Source organism: Homo sapiens, chromosome 2 (assembly GCF_000001405.40).
Source record: "Homo sapiens chromosome 2, GRCh38.p14 Primary Assembly".
Taxonomy (NCBI): domain Eukaryota; kingdom Metazoa; phylum Chordata; class Mammalia; order Primates; family Hominidae; genus Homo; species Homo sapiens.
In genome coordinates this window covers 113,850,647-113,865,095 of record NC_000002.12, presented here as the reverse complement: position 1 = coordinate 113,865,095, position 14,449 = coordinate 113,850,647, and the positions used below count along the sequence as shown (strand labels likewise).

The following is a 14,449-nucleotide window of genomic DNA, read 5'->3' as shown; positions in this document are numbered from 1 at the left end:
TCAGCCAAATCTGTTACTGAAGCAATGTAAACCCTCTCCAGCCTTACAAGAAGGTTTGTGTCTATTTCTTATAACTATCTTTAAAATTTTTTCCACCAGCCTGACTGAACTCCCACAAGCCTGGTCAACATAGCAAGACTTCATCTCTACTAAAAAAAATTAAAAATTAGCCAGGTGTGGTGGCCCATATCTATAGTCTCAGCTACTCAGAAGGCTCAGGCAGGAGGATTGCCAGAGCCCAGGAGTTCAAGGCTGCAGTGAACCATGATCACAGCACTGCACTCCAGCCTGGGTGACAGAGCAAGACCCTGCCTCTAAAAAAAAAAAAAAAAAAAAACTGTGATGAACATTGATTAATTGTAGGTACACATATATTTTTTATTATCATCTATGCTTTTTCTCATTTATAAATGTCTCCAGATCTTTTTAAATTCTGTGAGCAGAACTTCATAGCTATTAGGTTAGGCTAAAACATAATTAATGCATAAGAGACAGAACCCAGTTCCATTGAATCCAAAGGTAAATTCTAAATATCCCACATTTATCTTTTTTCTTTTAAAAATTTATTTGCTAATTTTTCTTAGCGTTCCCTTCCCCCATTTATGCTAAGAATACCCAATGTACTTATACCAGCATCATTTATAATAGTAAGCAATTAGGATGATAGGCACACTATCAAATGATATTTGGAATGGTAAGTCTAATGAATGAAATTGTGTCAATAAAAATGTTAAATTTTAAGTGTGACATACAAAATTGTATATTATATATATATATATATATATTTTTTTTTTTTTTTTTTTTTTTTTTGAGACAGAGTCTCGCTCTGTCACCCAGGCTGGAGTGCAGTGGCACGATCTCGGCTCACTGCAACTTCCACTTCCCGAGTTCAAGTGATTTTCCTGCCTCAGCCTCCCGAGTAGCTGGGATTACAGGTGTGCACCACCATGTCCAGCTAATTTTTGTATTTTTGGTAGAGATAGGGTCTCACCATGTTGCCCAGGCTGGTCTCAAACTCCTGAGCACAAGCTATCCACCCGCCTCAGCTTCCCAAAATGCTATAATTACAGGAGTGAGCCATCATGCCCAGCCTAATATACAATGTTTATGGATGCCAAAGTATGTGTCAAAAGTATAAAATCAAGTGGTAGAATGGTAAATGCTGAGTTAATAAGAGCGATTTTGATATAATGATGAATATTGAGGTAGAAGAGAAATACAATCAATAGTACATGGGGTCTCAGTGGACTGACAATGCTTTCTCTTTTTAAAGGGAAGCAAATATGTGATAATGTTAAGATTTGAAAAAGCTGAATGATGGATGGATGTGTGTTCCTATATTAGTTTCTTGCTTATGTGCGTGAACCACTTCACAGTTTTTTGAATGTCATTTGTTAAAACTTCATATTCCATTGTGCTGGTCCTTTGAACTTTTTCACTTAGTCTATTGAAATCTAGAAAACAACATGCAGACAGAATTTTGGAAGTAGAAGGGAAGAAGATCCACACAAAGTGGGGACTTGAGAGATACAAGTTACAGTTAGCAGAACAGGAAGCAAATATTCATATATTAAGAAAATTACAAAGAGGAATTCAAGTAAATAAGTTACCTAAAATTACAATAGAGGAACTAAAAATAATGAGACATCCATATTGGGAGGGAGGAGGGTGTAAGTGAACTAAGTTCTCATCTATCAGAATAGGAAGGAAGTCCACAGATAAAGCCTGTCTGTCTGATAAATAAAGAAGTGGTGATATAACTGTATTATTTAGAGATAGGGAAGTAACCACCCAGAAGAATTTTTGAAACTGTAGCCGTTAAGAAGTCAGACTTGTTCTAGGGCTTGAGTGGAAGGTAACGGGGTGGGTTGGGGGTGGGAAGGACTGGCAAAGCTTTCTTACCTCTTACAATAAGCTCTTCAGCATTGTTGACTTTTTTGTAAATATGTGCGTGTACTGCCTTGGTCAAAAAATTTTTTTGAGGATAACACAATAGTAAAACCATCAGACCCCAGAAAATGTTCCTTTCTTCAATAATCTGACCTAGTGCTGTTTCACTTTTTTTTTTTTCTTGGAGATGGAGTTTCGCTCTTGTTGCCCAGGCTGGAGTGCAATGGCACGATCTTGGCTCACTGCAACCTCCACCTCCTGGGTTCAAGGGATTCTCCTGCCACAGCCTCCCGAGTAGCTGGGATTACAGGCGCCCACCACCATGCCTGGCTAATTTTTTGTATTTTTAGTAGAGATGAGGTTTCACCATATTGGCCAGGCTGGTCTCGAACTCCTGACCTCAGGTGATCCACCTGCCTTGGCTCCCAAAGTGCTAGGATTACAGGCGTGAACCACCGCTCCTGGCCCTATTTACTTTTTCTTCTTTTTTTTTTTTTTTTTACTAAGAAAGTGAAAGCATCAAAGAATCCCTATTCACTTCTTGACCTGTGTTGTATACTTGCTTATAAATTGTGTACATTTTCATCTTTTAATTGGTATCCTGGAATGACCCTTTTTCTTTCTGTTTTTCTTCCTTTTATATTTTGCCCTCTGCAAACATTTTAGAGTTGATTTTCTGTACAAAAGGTTGAAGACTGTTCACTTATGGAAAGCTTGTTTCTGATAGACACTTAAATGAAACAAAGAAGGCTTCTATAATTCAAATGGGTTTAAAACATGCCTATGACAAACAGAGACAGAAAGTAGATTTTGGCTGAGGGAGTGGGGGTGAACAGTAACTGCTAATGGGTTGCCGTCATGTTTTCTGGGGTGGGGGATGAAAACGTTTTGGAATTAAAAGAGTGGTGATGCTTACACATCTTTGTGAATATACTAAAATCCACTAAAGTGTACACTCTAAAGGAGTGAATTTTATGGCATGTGAAATATCTTAGCAAAAAAATGCCTATGAAAAATATTGCAAGGGAATAAGCAAAAATGATAGTCACTGTGTTGTACTCAGGGGATGTTTTTTCTATTTTCTATTTCCCTAAAGTTTTGGTAATGCGATAAAAGTTTCATAATTTAAGAAATATTCTATTTATTTTATTTTTGAGACAGGGTCTCCCTCGGTTGCCCATGCTGGAGTACAGTGGTGCGATCACTGCAGCCTCAACCTCCTGGGTTCGAGTGACTCTCCCACTTCAACCTCCTGAGCAGCTGGGACCACAGGTGCATGGCACCACGCCTGGTTAATTTTTTATTTTTCATAGAGACAGGTTCTCACTGTGTTGCTCAGGCTGGTCTTGAACACCTGGGCTCAAGCAATTGTCCCACCTCAGCCTCCCAAAATGCTGGGATTACAGGCGTGAGCCGCTGTGACAGGCATAAGAAATATTTTAAAGTAACATCATTAGCCTGGATGTATGGTACCATCTTCAATCGTCCAAGTTTTCCTCTTAGTTCCATAACACTTTTTATTTTCTCCTGCACTCTAATGCACATAATTGTTCATACTGTAATCTGTTTTATTTATAGTTTTGGCTTTGGTGTTACTCTTTTTTAAAATATTGTTTTGAGACATGTTCTCTTTTTGTCACCCAGATAAGAGTGCAGTGGTGCAGTCATGGCTCACTGCAGCGTCTGCCTCCTGGACTCAAAGAATCCTCCTACCTCAGCCTCCCAAGTAGCTAGGACCACAGGTATGTACCACCACACCCAGTTATTATTATTATTTTTTTTCACAGAGACAGGATCTCACTATGTTGCCCAGGCTGGTCTCCAACTCCTAGGCTCAAGCGATCTACCTGCCTCAACCTCCCAAAGTGCTGGGATTACAGGCATGTGCCACTGGGCCTAGCCTGGCATTACTCTTACAAAGGATACACCACGGTAAGGTTATAAAAAACATTTCTATGAATTTGTGAATTTTGTTCCTAGTAGTTTTATACTTTGCTTCTTTTTTTGAGACAGAGTCTCGCTCTGTCACCCAGGCTGCAGTGCAGTGGTGCAATCTCAGCTCACTGCAACCTCCACCTCCCAAGTTCAAGTGATTCTCATTCCTCAGCCTCCTGAGTAGTAGCTGGGATTACAGGTGTGTGCCACCATGCCCGGCTAATTTTTGTATGTTTAGTAGAGATGGGGTTTTGCCTTGTTTGCCAGGCTGGTCTCGAACTCCTGGCCTCAAGAAATCCACCCACCTTGGCCTCCCAAGGTGCTGGGATTACATACATGAGCCACCGTGCCCGACTATACTTTGCTTTTTTATTAAAACATGTTCAAGTCCTTGATCTATCTGGAATTTAGCTTTGTATATGGCTTGAAAGGGAATTAATATTATTTATCTTAATCAATGGCCTGATGTCATAAACAATTCATTTTATATTATATACTGATGTTGTTTAAATAAGTGTGAGTGTGAGTGTGAGTGTGTGTGTATGTGTGTATACAAAGTCTATCTCTACATTTTCTAGTCTGTTCCTTTGACTTATTGCCTGTTCCTAAACCAGTGCCATGCTGTTCGGTTTTATGTCTAGTAGAACAAATTCCCTCTCCTTGCAGTATCTTTTATAACACAAAAATCTCACAAATAAATAAATAAAACTTGCATCCAAATATGCTAAATGACTTGCTCGTATATCATTTAGAGATACAATTCAGAGAATAATCTCAGTTTTCTGAGTTCAGTCATTTATTTGTTCTATTTAACAGATTTTTATTGAACATCTACTATATAACAGAGTCTGTTCCAGCTTCTAAGGATCCAGTAGTGAAGGAAATACAAAAATCTATGCCCTCATGGAGCAAACACATATTCAACATTATTATTCATTTTTAAATAGCTACATCTCTGCTAAATTTTCCAGTTTTTGAAAAATAAATTTTAGTTATTAATTCAGCATAATTAGAAGAGTTGAAATTTTACACTTCATATCTCACAGTTTATTTTTCTTACACATATATTTTTTATTTTATTTATTTATTTTGAGATGAGTCTCGCTCTGTTGCTCAGGCTGGAGTGCAGTGGTACAATCTCAGCTCACTGAAAACTCCACCTCCTGGGTTCAAACAATTCTCCTGCCTCAGCCTCCTGAGTAGCTGGGACTACAGGCGCACGCCACCACACACAGCTAATTTTTGTACGTTTCGTAGAGAAAGGGTTTCACCATGTTGGCCAGGCTAGTCTTGAACTCTTGACCTCAGGTGATCCACCTGTCTCAGCCTCCCAAAGTGCTGGGATTATAGGCATGAGCCACCGTCCCTGGCCACATTTTTTTTTTTAAACTCTACAGTTTCACTTCTCTTTTTTTTATGCAAAGTAGTCTCTTCTCTACATCCATGGTTGATTTCTAAAAACCCCTTTGCAGGAGAATTCCCTGTCAAGAGCGTAAGACTTTATGAAGCAAATTAGGAAAATTGAGGCCACTATTAAACTACAAAGAATACATATTTTCCTTAGCCATTTGTTCAAATAGGACAATACATCTGGCACATATTATGTATCTAAAATTAGTAATAAATTCCCATTCACCACTTCTTGCTTTGGGATAACTTTCTAGAACTTCTCTTTTATGAAGTTTCAGCAAGACACATGATTATTTTATAACACGTGATATTCATGATGAGTCTTTTTTCCCCTTTTAGTTCTGGTTGCTACATTTCTTATTTTATGACTTAAAGTTAAATTACTTACACTCTCTACACCCGAAATGATCCCAAGGGAACTGAGTAACTTGAGAGAAGTTAAATATAATTACATGTTTGGACTCTAGAGTTATACAGATCTGCTTCAGACTTAGCTCCCCTACAGAAGATGTGACTTGGACAAGCAAGGTAACCTCTCTAAGTTAGGTTTCTCCATCCATAAATTGGTAAGAATAATATGTACCTGCCTCATAGGATTGTTGAGAAAATTAAGTGAGGTACAATGTGTAAAATTAATATCTCAGTGCTTGGCACATAATCCATGTTAAATAAGTGTTAGCCAATGTTATTATTGAGATGTTTGTTAAGACCATTTCACTACAAAGAACAGCGGTTCATCTGGGTGATGGGAGCAGGGGTATCGTGACGGTATTTATGGAAATAAGGACTTTAAGGACCTTCTGGCATATCAAGAAAAGCTGTCGAGCTGGGCCTCTTGGACTCTGGAAGTCACTCAGGAACTAGAAGCATCCAGTGGAAGAGTCACCAATCTGAGTCATCTTCTTGCTGCCTTGGCAAGTTCAGGGATCCCATAAATGCAGTGACTCAGCATCCCTCCAACTGTACTGCTACCATTCCCATTTCTACTAATTTTTCAACTCTCCTATAAATACCGTTTGATTTTGGCTTACCTATAGCTTCTGCTTGTTCATAACTGCTCACTCCTCCTTTCTGATAACTCAAAACTTCAACTTATTCACAATTTGTCAGTTCCACATGAAATTTCTAGGCAATAATGTCTGTTTGACTCAGTAGTATCCCTATTGAAGCAGAGGTTCTATATGCTAAACCTCCTCGTGGGCCATAAACCCATAGAAAAACTGATGGCCTTTGGATCATGAGCACATTCCTGATTCTAGTCAGCTGAGCTGGGAGAACTGGGGGCTGAGGGGTTCTGGAAGCGGGGCAGAGAACGTGGCATAGAACATGGCCACCTTCTTAGTAGGACCTGTAGGCTCTGCAGTTACCCCCAGAAGTGGGCTGTGTGGTGACTGGCTTGTCTGTAAACTACACTTTGGGTAAATTATATCTCATCTATTCAACATAGCCAAAAAGAAATGTCTCACTCCTCCTCCATTGACAGTTTTTATTACTTTGGTTGGTTGATTTTAAAGGGCAGTAACCTAACTTGAACTAACTTAGACACAAAGAGGAATTTATTGGCTCACAGGATCCAGGAAAGGTTTAAAAAGTTGATGTCCAAGTCCAGTCTTCCCATATAACTTTGTTTCTTATTTTATTTTTATTTTTATTTTTTGAGATGGAGTCTTGCTCTGTCGCCCAGGCTGGAGTGCAGTGGCATGATCTCGGCTCACTGCAACCTCCGCCTCCCGGGTTCAAATGATTCTCAGCCTTATGAGTAGCTGGGATTACAGGCACATGCCACCACGCCCAGCTAATTTTTGTATTTTTAGTAGAGATGGGGTTTTACCATGTCGGTCAGGCTGGTCTCGAACTCCCGACCTCATGATCTGCCCGCCTCAGCCTCCCAAAGTGCTGGGATTACAGGCGTGAGCCACCGTGCCCAGCCTGTTTCTTATCTTAAAATTAAACCCTATTTCCTTTTTTTTCTGATCCCTGTAAACAGTGACTCCAAGCTCGAATGATCTAATGCTATCTCAGTGACCTGTTTCTCGCTTATATAACACTTGGCCCATATGTGTATGGTTCGTTTTTAGCTCCTCCAGTTTTCCTTCAAACTCCTTTTACTCCCTCACATTCTTCATGTTTTACTTTCTTTAGTCTTGGGATTCATGTTACTTCCCCTTCCTGTATTCTGTCTTAAGTAGCTGAGGTATCTCCATAGTGCTTCTCACTTCCTTTTAGTTTCATTCCATTCACTTCCCTAAAGTTCTCTCCTGCTTCTTCCTTGCCTTTTTCTCATTGAGCCCATGAAGTTCTCTCCACTGTCTCAAGACAAAGGTATCCCTGTTGGAGTAAGTAATCTTGATTTTCTTTCCTCAGCAAAAGTTCATGTTGGGGATCCCTGGTGCACTTTTTCTTATCCTCTTATTGCTATCTTCACTATTTCCTGAAATTCATCTTCTTGTTTTTATCCAGTCTCTTCTATTGCTCTCTTTATCTCCTCTTTCCCTTATAGAATCAGTTAATTCTCTATATTCAAAAGAGTAAATGTTACCAGGTATTTCCCATATTGCTTTGCTAGGGCTGCTATAATGGAGTATACCACAGACTGGGTGGCTTGCACAACAGAAGTTGTTCTCACAATTCTGAAGGCTATAATCCAAGGCCAATGTGTCCACAAGGTTCATCTCTTTTGAGGCCTCTCTTTGGCTTGTACATGGCCATCTTCACCCTGTATCCTCATAGGGTCTTTCCTCTCTGTGTGTCTGTCTTAATTTATGCTTTTCATGAGGACACCAGTCATATTAGATAGGGCCCGCCCTAATGACTTCATTTTAACCTAATTATCCCTTTATAGAACCTGTCTTTGTTTGTGCTGCTATAACAGAATACCACAGACTGGATAATTTGTTAAAAAAAAACAAAACAAAAAAAACCAGAAACTTATTTTTAGCAGTCTGGAGACTGGGCCAAGATCAAGGCACAGGCAGGTTCATTTTCTGGTAAGGGTCCTATCTCTGCTTCCAAGATGGTGCCTTGAATGCCATGACCTCCAGAGGGGAGGAATGCTGTGTCCTCACATGGCAGAAGGCAGAAGGACAAAAAGGGACAAACTTCCTTCATCAGGCAGAAGGCAGAAGGACAAAAAGGGACAAACTCCCTTCATCAGGCAGAAGGCAGCAGGACAAAAAGGGACAAACTTCCTTCATCAAGCCCTTTTATGAGGGCACCTCATTCCATTCATGAGGAAGGAGCCCTCATGGCCTAAACACCTCTTAAAAGCCCCACATCTTAATACGATAACATTGGCAACACTTAAATTTTTGAAGAGACAAATTCAAACCATAGCAGATTTTATCTTAAAATATACAAAATACAGTCAGTCACATTTGGCATACTAGGGGTTAGGACTTCAACATCTAAATTTGGGGGTGGGGGCAATATTCAGCCCATAGCATTGCCTTTAAAATCCAGATCAAAAATTTACTTCTTACCAGGCACAAAGGCACACACCTACCACCCCAGGCTACTTAGGAGGCTGAGGCAGGAGGACTGCTTGAGCCTAGGAGTTCACCTTCAGCCTGAGCAACACAGTGAGACTGTGTCTCTTTAAAAAAAAATTTTATTTGAATTTCTTTTCTTCTCATCCAGGAAGTTTCCTGATCCAAAGAGCTCACAGTGATTTGGTCCTCGTAGAACTTGTATCGAAGTTTTTATTCTTATCATTCATTGGTAATCAGCCTGCTGTTTTGCCATATTAAATTATTATGTGTGTTTTGTGTTGTTAATTTCTTATGTTCTATTTTATCTACCAAATAAGATGAGATGAAGATGAACCACACCTTCCACTTTCTGAATCTTCATAGTATGTGATATAGCACTTTGCTTGTTGTATGTCCTCAGTATGTAATTTTAATAATTTAGTCAATGTTCTACCACTTCAGATTCTCCTAAGTTCAAACCACATGAAAGCTGTCCACCCATTAATTGTTTTCAGTCAATTCCTAAAAAACGTGTTCTTTCAAAAAGGGTCCTATTCAGTCACATTAATAAGAATTCAGTTTGGTGAAATCAGAGCAGTTGTGGATAGTGTTTGAGGCTGACCCTATTTAGATCAAAACCAGCAGAAATTAGTGGTAAGGCTTCGATGGGGTCAGTTCAGGAAGAGGTTTTTAATAAGATAACAGTCAGAGGGAAGGTGAGGGAGTCCATTCAGTTGGCAAGAGGAATTTTGAGCACAGGACATCCCCGAGCTGCAAGTCAGGCAGAGGGACACTGCAGATGCTACTCAAGTCTGTGGCAGAGGAAGAAGCATCCGCTCAGAGGACAGCACCCTGGGTGAGTCTGAGGGAGGATGCATCCGCTCAGAGGACAGTGCCCCGGGTGAGTCTGAGAGAGAAACACTGCCTCATTACTCAGTGGGTGCAGGAGCCCTTTTTACTGACTGCTGCATTGTCAGGATCCATGGTTGATCTGTGGACAAGATTTTATCTTCCTTAGTGGAGAAAAACCCTCCTGACCCAATGAGTGTGGCCTTGCAGAGGTCCTCAGTTTTCACTTCACCAGAGACTGCTTCCACCACTGGTGCCTCAATCTCCTACCACTGGGTCTTGAAACATCTCTCCAATATTCCTAAATGGTCCTAAAAGAACACAGGGCTTGAGGCCTTTCTCACGTAGCCACGTGCACATCAGTAACCATGCCCTCTCACAAAGCAGCACATAACTTCCTCTTTCTCAACAGGACGCTTGCCCCTCATCACCCTCCTTTCTCAAACATGGTCATCCAAACTTCCACCTACTGTCAAGGCTTATTCAACATTCACTGTTTTGGGGGCACAGTGGTAACTAACTTTGGAAACTTTTCTCTCTGACTGCAACAATTTGCTGAAGTGTAGTACATTGCTTTTCTACTGCTGCATGACAGATTATTACAAACATAGTGGCTTAAAACAAATGTGTTCTCTCACAGTTTCTGTGGGTCAGGAGTGCAGGTGTGGGTTACCTGGGCCCTCTGCTGTGGGTCTCACCAGCTCAGACAAGGAGTTGCAAGCTGGGGCCATGACCTCATCTGAGGCTCAGGGTCCTCCTCCAGGTGCGCGGGTAGTTGGCACAGTTCATTTCCTTGCAGTACATTGATTGCTATTGTCTAAATTTATGTGTCCCCCCTCCCAAATGTACATGTTGAAACTCTAACTCCTAAAGTCATGTTATTAAAAGGCGGGGCCTTTCGGATGTGAGTAGGTCATGAGGGAGGAATTAGTGCCCTTATAAAAGAGTCCACAGAGAGCTTGTTTGCCCTTTTTGCCCTTTTGCAAAGAGAAGGGGCCATCTATGAAGAGTGGGCTCTCACCAGACACTGAGTCAGCAGGCACCTTGATCTTCACTGTCACAACCTCCAGAACTGTGAGAAATAAATTTCTGTTGTTTATAGATTGCCCAGACTAAGGTATTTTGTCATAGCAGCACATTCAGACTAAGACAGTGACCAAGGTCATTGCTAACACTTGCTAACTCTCAGTCAGGGACTGCTTTCAACTCTAAGAGGTCACCCTCAGCTTCTTACAAAGTGGCTCCTGCAGCTCCCCATACCTCTTCTTAAGGACGGTTTGATTTCTTCTATGCCAGCAGAGTCTCTCTGAGTCTTCACCTTCAAGAAAGTTACCTTCTTCTTTTTTATTTTTATTTTTTTGAGACAGAGTCTCACTCTGTTGTCCAGGCTGGAGTGCAGTAGTACAATCACAGCTCACTGCTGCCTTGACCTACCAGGCTCAAGAAATCCTCCCACCTCAGCCTCTTAGTAGCTGGGACTAGAGGCACACACTGCCACACCCTGCTAATTTTTAAATATTTTTTTGTAGAGATGGAGTCTCTCTATTTTGCCCATGCTGGTCTTGAGCTCCTGGGCTCAAGCAATCCTCCTGCCCTGGCCTCCTAAAGTGCTGGGATTACAGGTGTGAGCCACCGTGCCTGGCCAAACGTTATCTTCTAAAAGTTAGGCTCACCTAGGGTTATCTCTCTTTTGATTAACTCCAGCATAACTAATTAATAACTTAATTGCATTACTTCCATCTATCAAAGTTCACCATAATTCTCACAGCCCTCATGAAGTCCTTGTGATTAACCACCCCTGATGTTGACCAAAACTGACCCTCATAGCTCCCAGGTATTCCAAACCATCTATCTGTTAAATATATACAAGACACACTGTGTATCAAAAACTAGTATTCTGTGTTTATGCTGGAAATATATTGACTGCTTTGTGTGCCTGGTCAATGGTGTGAAAAAGCCTAAGGAATATTTTGTCCCCAGGAAAGCCTAAACATGGTCAGAAACACAGAACTGAAAGCTTCACTTGTTTCCACCCCCTCCAAAGGCTACAATCAATATTATGCCCTTAGACCAAGAGATAAACTGCATTGGAAAACTAAAGGGTCTTTTGGGGATTGAGCCAACAACACATGTAGCCTCATTGTGATCCGAAACTCCAGGCCAGGCTAAAAGTATCCAGACCAGTGGTCTAGAAGAAGCTTTGCTTTCTAATGCAGAGGGTCTCAAACTTGAGTCCATCAGATCCCTCGGGGGCTGTATCCCTAAGCCTCTTCCCCAGAGTTTCTGTTCAGTAGGTCTAGGGTGGAGCCTGAGAACTGCAATCCTAACAAGTTCCCAGGTGAAGCTGTTGCTGCTGGGGCTGAACCACATTGAGAACCACTGTTCAGGAGGGAAGAACCAATGGGCAGAAAGTACAGAAAAGCTAGGTTTAGCTCAAGATCTGGTGGAATCTTTCTTTAAAGCAGTTCCTCTTCTTCAACAGCAGAACAGGTTCTTTAATAAAAAGAATTTTCTATTATTGGAAATAAGCAGACATTGAATAACTGCTCATTGGGGGATATTATAAAAATGATTGCTGCAATAAACAGTAGTGTCCTGAGTACAGAAGCTGGGATTGATCTGGGAAGATTCATGCAGCAGAGGCACATGGAGTCCTACTAGGACACACCATCAGGAAAAAAGCGTAGATGCCGCATGAAATATCCCTGGTATTACATGGGAGGGAATTTAAAACTTCACCAACGATAAATGTGAAGTTAAAGCAGTAATTAGGGAGCAATGATTAGACTAGGGCCAGGAATAACCAGACCTGTATCATTCTAGAAAGGATTATGTGGTTCATAACTGAAGGGTGAGTAGAAATAAAAAATCAGAGCAGAAGGAAGGAAACCAAGGCATTCCAGGATGGTAATCCACTAGTGCTGGGCATACCACACAAGTGTCCCTACGGCACAAGTCTCGTCAGTTGTTTCTAAATCGAAAGAGTGGGTGGAGGATGGGGTGGCAAAGCAGGATCCCTAAAGGAGATGAATTAAGCAAAACAACAAGTTGTACTAGAATTACTTCTCAAACCTGGTTGATCATCAGAGTCACCAAAGGGTAGCTTTTAACTACCCTTTTACAATGGATCTCTGAATCCCATTGAATTCAAAATTAGCAATGGAGGGTCACAAGTAGTGGGAGGAGGATAGGAATCTGTAATTCCCAGGCATTGCCCAGTATGTAATTCATTGGCCCTGATGATCTCTACCAAGGATGCCTGGTAGTTACACCTAAAGCTGTTTGGCAATAGAAGACTTGGGCCTTTGGGATATTTCATATAAGCAATCTCTTCCCGTCCTCTTGATAAAAACAAAATCATCTTTCTGCGTAGGCCACTTCAAATGAACCAGAGCACATCCACTTTTACGTTTGTTTTCTCTATATTGAACTACAATATAGTAATTTTATTATATTTTCATTAAAAAATTTAAAAAGACTTCCACTTTTGTAACAAATGGTTTAAAAACCATCAGATAGTTGTAGAAGGAGAGCCAGGCTTTGAAGACAGTTGTAGAAGGAGGGCCAGAATTTGAATCCCAGCACTACCGCTCAACTTGCAGTAACCTTGGGTGAGTTGTGTAATTTTTCTGAGTCTCACTTTCCTTATCAGTATATTGTGGGAAATGATGCCAACCTTGGAAGTGGTTATGCTCGCCTTGAGGTCATTGTTGTATTCCCAGCTCCTGGTACTTTGTAGTTGCTCACAGCACATTTGCTGAATGAGCTAATAGCTTATCTGCAACCGTCTAACACAGCCCCTGCTTAATAAAAGGGTGTTAGTGTTATGATTACTGCAAGCTTTCCTTTTCCTGTTTTTTTTTTTTTTTAATTTTGTTCATCATGCTGAAATACTACATATGCTTGTACTCCAGATTTCCAAAAAAGATACACTGGGGAGGGTGTTGGGATTTGGCAGGGTAGAGTTGAGAGATGGTCAAAGGGGACTTCATTTTGACCTATAAATTTTGTAACTTTTTCAAGGAAAATATATTCATGTATTAGTTATTCAATTAGAAAAAAATAGAAAAATTGTAAAAGGAAGCTAAAAAACCTCCCGGCCGGGCGCGGTGTCTCATGCCTCGGCTCCCTAGCACTTTGGGAGGCCGAGGAGGGTGGATCACGAGGTCAGGAGGTCGAGACCATCCTGGCTAACATGGTGAAACCCCATCTCTGCTAAAAATACAAAAAATTAGCCAGGCGTGGTGGTGGGAGCCTGTAGTCCTAGCTACTCGGGAGGCTGAGGCAGGAGAATGGCATGAACCTGGGAGGCGGAGCTTGCAGTGAGCCGAGGTGGTGCCACTGCACTCCAGCCTGGGCGACAGACAGAGCGAGATACCATCTCAAAAAAAAAAAAAAAAAAAAACAACCCAAAACCTCCCTTATATCACCCCATGAAAGCTCTGCTTAGGAGTTCATCTTTGATTTTTCACTTATAATTCTGCTCCCCAACACACACACACCCATAGTAGACAGTCCACTTTCCATCTAATTAACATATTTTCCTTCCATTGTACAAGCTGCCCTGGATTGCATAACCTGTTTCTGCTGGAGAAATATGTACATCTCTTCTTTTTTAGCAGCTGCCTCACCCTCTCTCATCTAAACCCTACATCTTATCATGTTCAGAACCATTTCGATTAATTTATTTTAGACTGTTACCTTATCTCATCTCATTGTGAAAGCCTCTGGTTACCACATCTCTTTTTCTCAGTAGTACACACGCCGAGTTTAATGCAGCCTGGGCACAGAGTGGCCTCTTAATGCTTTGCTGCCCCAAACTCCCTTTTTGACAGCTGTCAGTCCAAAATTCTCTGCCTGGCTGTCAGGACCCTTTGGAATGGGGCCTCACTTGACTT

The 14,449-nt window shown here is 41.1% G+C and overlaps 1 long non-coding RNA gene across 1 annotated transcript in view, besides 1 other annotated feature; it reads left to right on the top strand.

Moving 5' to 3' along the window:
- Positions 1-14,449, top strand: part of ACTR3-AS1 (ACTR3 antisense RNA 1) — a 59,810-nt gene that overhangs the window by 25,897 nt on the left and 19,464 nt on the right. The window contains exon 2 of the long non-coding RNA NR_110174.1: positions 3,535-3,632. This is a non-coding gene — a long non-coding RNA (ACTR3 antisense RNA 1). The remainder of the gene's footprint in view (positions 1-3,534; positions 3,633-14,449) is intronic.
- Positions 3,048-3,097: a silencer, noted in NCBI's record as "silent region_11887". NCBI's record gives its function as "represses an Ori minimal core promoter by ATAC-STARR-seq in GM12878 lymphoblastoid cells {active_cell/tissue: GM12878}" and the evidence as "EXISTENCE:reporter gene assay evidence [ECO:0000049][PMID:35858748]".